This window comes from Homo sapiens, chromosome 17 (genome assembly GCF_000001405.40).
Source record: "Homo sapiens chromosome 17, GRCh38.p14 Primary Assembly".
Taxonomy (NCBI): Eukaryota; Metazoa; Chordata; class Mammalia; order Primates; family Hominidae; genus Homo; species Homo sapiens.
This window is the reverse complement of record NC_000017.11, coordinates 38166462-38176944: the sequence shown is the minus strand read 5'-3', so window position 1 is coordinate 38176944 and position 10483 is coordinate 38166462. Positions and strand designations below refer to the sequence as shown.

Sequence of the window (10483 nt, the reverse complement as noted above, 5' to 3'; positions counted from 1 at the left end):
AGCCTGAGTCTCTTCTTTGGCTGAGCCAAGGGCGTGCTGGAGAGGCCTGACAGAAGAAGGAGCGGCCCTTGTGACCAGTGCCCTTTTGGTTCACAAGGAACGTCTCCTCTTGTTGAAGTGACTTGGCTGAGCTTGCTACTTCTGCTTTGAGAGTCAAATATCAGGATCAAGACTTTAATTATCCCCAATTTACAGATGATGAAACCATATTGGGCAGGAAAGAAAGTCACCCCAGGAGAGCAAGTTGGACCTGAGCACTGGCTGAGGACAAAGGGGAATGATAATTTGGGATGTAACTTGTTAAGGGGTCTCACAAGTGTTCTTGTGATCCAGGTGTCGAGAGGATACAGCAGAAAGGTTGCCAGGGAGATGAGGGTAGGGTGCACCACAAGAGTGGGAGAAATTAAAGAGAACACGCAACAAAGCCTTGGGACACTGGGAGGGGGATGGACCACCCAGTTTTGTGCTATGGGAGAAGAGAGCAAGAAAAGGAATCTGTGTTAAATCCCGACAGCCTGCATGAGAAGCAAATGCCCTTCATTTTCTTCATCAGCGGCGAGACTGGCATCCCTGCAGCTTTGGGAGACCATGCTAGTGTAGATGCCAGCTCACGCCAGCGGGCCTGACTGGGAGACCTTGGGCTGGGGTTCTGGTCTGGGGCTCCTAGGCCTGATGGGAGGAGAGTTCAGCCCCAGGTTTCCTGTACTTCAGCTCATATCCACACAATGGTAATTATTGAAATGAGAGACTCAAAAGAAGATGGAACGTGAACTTTTTTGTTGTCCCATGTGGACACCTGTGTTCGGTTTCCAGTTCTACCTTTGCTGTCTGTGTGTTCTTAAGTAACTCACTTAAACCTTTCTGAGTCTCATTTTCTTCATTTATAAAATAAAAGACGTAACATTTATGTCAGATATTGTCCTGAGGATTAAATGGGAGAATGAACAAGCCTCTTCTGCATTCCCCTGGCATCCAGTGGGTGGAGGCCAGAGAAGCTGCTAAACATCCTGCCAGGTGCAGGACAGCCCCCATCACAAAGAATTGACCGGATCCTGATGTCAGTAAGGCAGAATTGAGGATCCTTGGTGTGGGGGAAAAAGAATAAACTCAGAAGCTTGGCAGATCTCAGTTCAAACCCTGGTTGTATCACCTCTAGCTGAGTGACCTTAGGCAGGTCTGTGAACTCTCTGAGACTCGGCCTCCTCATCGGTAGAATGAGGTAGATAAAAATGCCAAGCTCGGCCGGGCGCGGTGGCTCACACCTGTAATCCCAGCACTTTGGGAGGCCGAGGCGGGTGGATCATGAGGTCAGGAGATCGAGACCATCCTGGCTAACAAGGTGAAACCCCGTCTCTACTAAAAATACAAAAAATTAGCCGGGCGCGGTGGCGGGCGCCTGTGGTCCCAGCTACTCGGGAGGCTGAGGCAGGAGAATGGCGTGAACCCGGGAAGCGGAGCTTGCAGTGAGCCGAGATTGCGCCACTGCAGTCCGCAGTCCGGCCTGGGCGACAGAGCGAGACTCTGTCTCAAAAAAAAAAAAAAAAAAAAAAAATGCCAAGCTCACCCAGAAATAACCCCGTGCATATATGGTCAACAGATCTTTGACAAGGCCATCAAGGATATACAATGTAGATTCTTTTATTCCTTTACTTTCTTAATAGACTTGCTTTCACTGTACTGTAAAAAAAAAAAAAGGCACAATGTAGAAAGGAAACTCTCTTCAATGAATGGTGTTGGGGAAAGTGCATGAAAAAGAATGAAATTGCACACTTGTTTTACATCATATACCGAAAATTAGCTCAAAGTGGATTAAAGATTTAAATGTAATATCTGAAACCATGTAAATCCTGGAAGTAAACATAGGGAAAAATCTCCTCGACATTGGTCATAATTGGCAATATTTTTTTTGATGTAACACCAAAGCACAGGCAACAAAAGTGAAAATAAATAAATGGGACTACATCAATCTTAAAAGGTTTTACACAGCAAAGGAAACCATGACAAAATGAAAAGGCAACCTACGGGATGGAAGAAAATATTTGCGACCCATATATTTGATAAGGGGTTATTTGAAAAAATATAAGGAATTCACACAATTCAATAGCAAAAATTAATAAATACATGAATAACGCAATTAAAAATAGGCAAAGGACCCCAATGGACTTTTTTCCCCAAGGAAGATATACAAATGGCCAGCCAGCATATGAAAAGGTGCTCAACACCACTAATCATCAGAGAAATGCAAATCAAAACCACAGTGAGATATTGCCTCATAGGATAGGATGGCTCTTATAAAAAAACGACAAGAGATAACAAGTGTTGGCGAAAGCATAGAGGAAAGAGAACCCTTGTACACTGTTGGTTGGAATGTAAAGTGGTATAACCTTTACAGAAAACAGTATGGAGGTTCCTCAAAAAATTAGAAGCAGAACTACCATACGATTCAGCAATCAGTTTAGAACCTTGAAGAGAGATCTGCGCCCCATGTTTATTACAACACTATTCACAATACCCAAGATATGGAAACAGCCTAAGTGTCCAGCAACAGATGAATGGATAAATAAAACACATATAAACAATGGACTATTAGCCATTCAAAAGAAGAAACTCCTGTCCTGGATAAACCTGGAGGACATTACGCTAAGTGAAATAAGCCAGACACCGAAAGACAAGTTTTGTATGATCTCACTTATATGTGGGATCTAAGAGAGTCAAACTCATAAAAACAGATAGTAGAATGGTGGTTGCCAAGGGCTGGAGGTGGGGAAAATGGGAAGCTATTAATCAAAGGGTGTAAACTTTCAGTTATAAGATGAACAAATTCTGGAGATTTAATGTACAGCATAGGTGGTAATGGATGTAATAAATTTGATTGTGATAATTAGTACACAATATATACATATATGAAATCATCACATTGTATGCATTAAATATACACAATCCTTGTCAACTCAATATTTTTAAAAAAATGTTTAAAATGCCTAGGTCATAAGAATTCTGAGAATGAAATACAACAACATACATGAATGGACCTGCTACACAGAAGGTGCTAAATAGGTTTGTTTTGTTTTATTTTATTTCAACTCTGGCAGATGTAGACCTATTGGGAAAGAATATAGAATGCACTTGTGCACAAGGATTATCTATACGATGGTTAAATATCCTGCATACATGCCATGTCATTTCTACTCCTCAGTCAATGGATAATAAAAGCAGAACCAGCCTTCTGGTGGTCACAAAACATTTTGACATGAGAAAGGCTGATCATGAGCAATCTGGCAATGTACATCCCAGAGCGTGCATGCCCTTTGACCCACAGCTACCATGATGTCATGTCTAGCAATTAGCCCTAAGGAGATGATCAGAGATGTGTAAAGAGATTTCATTCTAACAGCATCCTCTGTAGTGGTATATGTCAGGGGCTGGTAAGCCATGTCCAGAGGAGCAGGCTGCATCTAGTCCACCACCTGTTTTTGTAAAGTTTATCAGAACACAGTCATGCCCATTCATTTACAAATTGTGTATGGCTTCTTTCCCTGCAACAGCAGAGTTGAGTGTTGCAACAGAAACCTATGGCCTGCAGAGTTTAAAATATCTACCCTTTGGCCTTTTATAAAAAAAGTTTACTGATTCCTGGTGAGTATATTAAAAAGTTAGGAAAACCTAAATCTTCCAGAGTGGAGAATTAGAAAGTAAGACGTGTTGTATATAAGACAGACAGTTTGTGTGTGCGTTTATTTATAAATATATTATTCTGAAATAATGTTGTCGACATATGTTGCAGGTCTTAAAAATTGGTCAATATATAGTGTTAATCAAAAAATGGCAAATTGTAAAATGTAGACAGAATGTGATTGTGTATTTTGTGCATACACCAACAGAAAAGGGTGCTAGGAAACCTGTGGACCAACATACTAAGTGTGGCTCTTTTGATGGTGGTATCATGGATTTTTAAAAATCTTCTTGGTTTTCTGTAGATTCTGACTTTCCTGTCATGAGTATGAATAAGTATGTATTTCTTGAGAAATGTGAAAATAACTTTATCTTCCCAGATTTCTCATAATTGAAAATGTTGGAATAAATGGTCCTGGGACAGATCTTTCCATTGAGAAGGGCAGAAGGGAAACCCTGGGGATTCAGCTGGGTTTCTGTTGCATTTCTGGTAACACACAGTTGTGAAAAGCCAGTGTTGGCCGTTCCCCAGGACAGTCTGGGGTAGAGGAGGTCAGGATTTAACTACTTGAGGGTCCGGGGAACAGATGTGGCCACAGTCCTTCCTGACTCACTGTTTTCCCTTCCACAGTCCCCGTCTTCTCTTCACTGATGCACATAGATGCCTGACCAGAGGAGAGATTTAGTTTTCGTCCAAGGATTATCTGTTATGTTGCAGTTCTGAAATTCCCATAACGTTTAGGCTAGAACACAAGTGATTTCATTATCTCCAATGTGTATGGCTTGATAGAAATAGATTCCATTATGTAGCACCTTAAATCCAGATAAAACATAAGGAATTTCTATTCCATGTTTGTATGATCAATGTTAATAATCTAAGAATATCTAAAAAGAAGCTACTTCCTCTATTACAGTATGAAATAAATATGCTGAATGATTTGTTTTGGGGGGTGGAATGGAAAGGTATAAGACTGAGGAGGGTGCCTGTGGGAACAGTGATAGGAATCCTTTCTTAAGGGTTGGGTTTTACATACGTCTTTTAAAATAGATGATATCATTAATAAATTATCTGTGGGCATCATGAAAAAAGTGTATAACGTACAACTTTATGAGCTTGACAGTTGGTGAAAACTTTTCTGTTTAAAATTTTATTTGGCCCTCCCCAAAAGAAATGTTTATTTATGAGTATTAGGATAGTTCCAGCAGTAATGCCTCAAAAGAACCAGGAGGTATAGTGTTGTCTAAAATGTGGACTCAGGAGCCAGACTGCCTGGCTGTGCAACTAGCCTTGTCACTTCCTAGATATGTGGCAAGTTAATTAACTTCTCAGTGTTCTTATCTGTAGAATGGGGATAATCCTAATATACATCTCAGGGTTATATTACAAATTAAAAAAGTTAATTTTGTAAAGGACTTAGAATGATATCTGGCAAATAAAAGTGTTCATAAAAGTAAACCCTATAAAAGTGTTTACTCATTAAATACAATAATCTGAAACCATTAGTAATTTAAACATTTGTGGCTGACTTGGTAATATTTATGAAAATAAATACTGTATTTATAATCTTTGACCTTATTTGACTCCTAGGAATTTATTGTCCAGCAAACATTTTCACAGGCAGACAAAAATATTACTATAAAATCACGTTTATTACACCAATCTGTGCAAAAGGAAAAAATAGACAATTAAAATGGCCATCAAAAGGAGTATTGATTAAGTGAATGATAGTAAATCCATTCAATAGTAATCATATTATCCAAAAAGAATGAGGCATAGTCATGTGATGTGGGAAGATCCACGGCTAATGTTAAACGGTAAATGATACAAACTGTTATGCCCAATAAAATACTTTCTGTGAGAGAATATATGTTAATTTATGCGAGTGGCGCCAATGTGGAGGGTTTATGCTAATTTCATTATACCTCACAGACAGACCTGGGCTCTCCCACTCATTTTCTATGTGGCCTGGGGTAAGTCATTTAACTGCTGGAAGCCTCAGCTTCTTCATCTGTCAGGCAGTGATACCCTGACTACTCTGCAGGGTAACTCTGAGATTTCAACGTGATCATCTCAGAATATGCCTGGCAAACAGTAGGAGCTCAGAACTTGATGTTTTTTTCCTACAGCAACTGCTGTAGGGGATAGCAGCTAATGCAAGAGGTTGGTAAATCCTTATATATATCAAATATTGTAGAAACATAACTACATGCTACTATTTTTTCAAACCCTCCCCTCACCCTTTTTTTTCCCCTGAGACAGAGTCTCACTCTGCTGCCCAGGCTGGAGTGCAGTGGCGCCATCTCGGCTTGGCTCACTGCAACCTCTGACTCCCGGGTTCAAGCGATTCTTGTGCCTCAGTCTCCCAAGTAGCTGGGATTACAGGCATGTGCCACCATGCCCAGCTAATTTTTTTGGTATTTTTAATAGAGATGGGGTTTCTCCATGTTGGCCAGGCAGGTCTCCAGCTCCTGGCCTCAAGTGATCTGCCTGTCTCGGCCCCCCAAAATGCCGGGTCAAACCTCTTATATCCAGTAAAACAGCCTCACTGGGTCAATGGATATCATGTGGCTGCCTAACATTTTTACTTTATAAAAGGTCTTCCTGAGGCCATTTGAAAGTATGGATCAAAACACTTTATGAACAGGGCCACAGGTTTGCATGAGGCTTGTCAGTGGACCTCCAGGATGAAGACCAAAGTGACTGTGCAATTTCTAGTGGAATAATTTACACTTAAGATCTTATTTATTTATCAAAAGACTGCTGTGAGGTAGGAATTCTTAACCCCCATTTGCAGAAACAGACTTTGCCTGACACCACAGAGCTAGGAAAAAGTGGGCATAAGATCCTCATCAAGTCTGACTTCCAAAAGAAGATTCAAAAAGAAACCTCCTTGCTACCCGCCAAATCTCTGTAGAGCCAGCCATGTTCACACATGAAACAGGACAATGACAATAGCACCAGGAATAGCTACTCCTGGTCAGATGCCCTCATGAGGTCAACTCCGCGGGATGGGGACACCGGGCCCTGCTTAGGGGAAAGGAAGGGGGTTTGTAGAGGAAGCCCAGCCAGCCAAGCAACCAGAGATGGGAAAAACCTATTGGGAAGAACTTGCTTGCTCTAGCTGGGCTTTGCAAAGAACAGGAAAAGATGAGTCTGCACAGACAGAAATGGTCTAGAATGGCTGAATGTTTCATGTAGAAATTTTATTTTATGATTAATACACTCGTGCCATTTCTTGGAACCACTTGCTTGTTTAATTCTAGTCTATCAAGTGATAATTTTGTTGATATTTAGAGGCTCCTCAGTTAATTTCTGTGGGATTTTTGGTTATATTTAATAAGGAAAATAATATGAAATGTCTAAGAAAAAAAGAAACAAAGTCAACTATTCCTGAGAATGTTTAAATTTATTGAAGTACACTTGTTAATTGTTAGTATAGAACCTACATTTCATGATAGAAAACCTTGGACTTGCCAGTTGTAGCTGCTGGAATGAGGTGTTTGTCCAGTACATCCAGAACGTCGCCACAGATTAACTTTAGCTCAGTCTCAACCTGAAAAAATAAAAATAAATTAAAAAAATCAGATCGTTGAAGTCTAGAAATTCTGTAAATTATTACACATTCTATCTACCTCTGGTTTTGAGGAAGAGAGCTTAGTGTTACAGAGAATTCATTTCCCTCTCCAAACTCCCTTCCTCCCTTTTGACACAAAAGCAGAGAAAAGCTGCCTGTCGGTTATCAAAAGTATCTTTTCCTTCCTGCCTGCAATTAAGTGCTACACACACACCACCCCCCACCCCAATACCCCCTCACAGTCCAACTGCAGAATCACCAATGACTGAAACTAAACACTGATGCTACTTGGTAAATGCTGGTCAATTACATGAATCTTTCACAAAGTAGCAACTATTGTGTCCATTTACTGGGGAAAACAGAAGCTAAGACATTTGCTCAAAGGTCATCCCCTTAAAAGAACGTAATAAGCAGAGCTAGGATTTGAAACCAGGCAGGGTGCAAGGGACAGAACAAAATTCAAACCCAGGCAGTTTGCCTTCAGTACTTACATTCCTAACAAGGTTCAACAGGCAATGCCTTTAGTGGAAGAGACCAAAAACTAGTTAAGATACCAAAAATCTGTGGACCAAAGTAACAGTTGCCACTCATTTATATTCATTTATAATGCTAAAAATGTGCACCACCTCTAAAGGCACATACCCAGTTTACGTCTTTTTTTTTTTTTTTTTTTTTTTTGAGAGGGAGTCTGGCTTTGTCACGCAGGCTGGAGTGCAGTGGCGTAATCTCAGCTCACTGCAACCTCCACCTCCCGGGTTCATGTCATTCTCCTGCCTCAGCCTCCGGAGGAGCTGGGACCACAGGCGCCTGCCACCACGCCCAGCTAATTTTTTGTATTTTTAGTAGAGACAGGGTTTCACCGTGTTAGCCAGGATGGTCTCGATCTCCTGACCTCGTGATCCGCCTGCCTCGGCCTCCCAAAGTGCTGGGATTACAGGCATGAGCCACCACGCCAGGCCTATTTTTTGTTTTTTTAGACAGAGTCTTCCCCTGTCACTCAGGCTGAAGTGCAGTGGCCCTATCTCAGCTCACTGCAGCCTCTGCCTTCCAGGTTCAAGCAGTTCTCATGCCTCAGGCCCCTGAGTAGCTGGGATTACAGGGGTGCGCCACTGTCTCGGGTTAATTTTTGTATTTTTAGTAGAGATGGGGTTTCACCATGTTGGCTAGGCTGGTCTTGAATTCCTGGCCTCAAGAGGTCCACCTACCTCGGCCTCCCAAACTGCTGGATTATAGATGTGGGCCACGCGTGGCCCAACTCTACTATTTCAGTGCAGCTCCTGTACCCTAGGTCATCACTGACTTCCCAGTTGCTGAATCCAGTTGTCTTTACTGAGTTGGTCCTTAATTTAACTTTCTTTTGCATTGAAGCTACTGACTGACCACAGCATTTTGAAACTCTGTTCCTCTTATTACTGTGATTCTACTTTCCTTATTTTTCATCTTATCTCTTAAGTCTGTGGCTTCTCAGACTTCCTCACAATTGATTGCTTATTTTAAAAATTCAAAAATTTAAACCTCCCGAGCAGTTCAAAAACAATATACCTTTGAAATTTTTTAAACTTTTCAGAGTTGCAAGAATAGTTCAGTGATCACCAGGTGTTACCATTTTGCCATATTTTCTTTGTCTCTGTGTCCCTCCCTTTCTACCTGCCCCCACATATATGTGTATCTATGAATATTGACTTTTTTTAACATTAATAAATTTTCTTTCTGTACAATTTGAGAGTTAACTGCAGATTTCATAGCACTTCACCCCTAATTTCTTCTATACATCTCCTAAGAATAAGGGCATTTTTTTTTTTTTTTGAGAAGGAGTCTCACTCTGTCACCCAGGCTGGGGTGCAGTGGTGCAATCTTGGCTGACTGCAACCTCCACCTCCTGGGTTCAAGCGATTCTCCTGCCTCAGCCCCCCAAGTAGCTGGGATTACAGGTGCCTGCTACCATGCCTGCCTAAGTTTTGTAATTATAGTAGAGATGGGGTTTTGCCATGTTGGCCAGTCTGGTCTCAAACTCCTTACCTAAGGTGATCCGCCCTCCTTGGCCTCCCAAAGTGTTGGGATTACAGACGTGAGACTCCATTCTCAGCCTCTTTTTCCTTTTGTAATTAACAAGTGATCTATGGCATGATAGAAACAGTGTGAATATTCTGTCCCATAATAATCTTTACTTAATGGTTTCATCTGGATTGCTTCTTGCCCAAATCAAATATTACTATAGTGATTAGAAATTGGAGACTTTTCTATTTTTTCTGTATTTTTTCTATATTGTCATTCTTCTGTAAAGATTTTTTTAAACTCTTTTTTTTTTTTTTTTTTTTTTTTTGAGACGAAGTCTCGCTTTGTCACCAGGCCGGAGTGCAGTGGTATGGTCTCAGCTCACTGCAACTTCTGCCTCCCAGGTTCAGGCGATCCTCCTGTCTCAGCCTCCAGAGTAGCTGGGACTACAGTCATTTGCCACTGTGTCCAGCTAATTTTTTGTATTTTTAGTAGAGATGGGGTCTCACCATGTTGGCCAGGATGGTCTTGATCTCTTGACCCCGTGATCCAGCCACCTCAGCCTCCCAAAGTGCTGGGATTACAGGCGTGAGCCACCGTGGCTGGCCCTATACTCCCTTTTTAAATTTTTTTTTTTTTTTTTTTTGAGATGGAGGTTCACTCTGTTGCCCAGGCTGGAGTGCAATGATGTGGTCTTGGCTCACTGCAACCTCCGCCTCCCAGGTTCGAGCAATTCTTCTGCCTCAACCTCCTGAGTAGCTGGGATTACAGGTACATGCCACCACACTCGGCTGATTTTTGTATTTTTAGTAGGGATGGGGTTTCACTATGTTGGCCAGGCTGGTCTTCAACTCCTGACCTCATGATCTGCCCGCCTCAGCCTCCTAAAATGCTGGGATTGCAGGTGTGAGCCACTGCACCTGGCCCTTTTTTTTTTTTTTTTTTTGAGACAGGGACTTCCTCTGTTGCCCAGACTTGAGTGCAGTGGTATGATCATGGCTCACCACAGCTTGGACACCAGGCTGCCTCAGCTCACTGCAACCTCTGCTTCCCGGGTTCCAGTGATTCTCGTGCCTCAGCCTCTGGAGTAACTGGGAGTACAGGTGCTCACCACCATACCTGGCTAATTCTTGTATTTTTAGTAAAGATGAGGTTTCACCATGTTGGCCAGGCTGGTCTCAAACTCCTGGCCGACATGGTGATCCACCTGCCTTGGCTTCCCAAAGTGCTTCATATTGTTA

General features: G+C 41.8%; 1 pseudogene; it reads right to left on the bottom strand.

Moving 5' to 3' along the window:
• Positions 7119-7226, bottom strand: YWHAEP6 (tyrosine 3-monooxygenase/tryptophan 5-monooxygenase activation protein epsilon pseudogene 6; annotated as a pseudogene).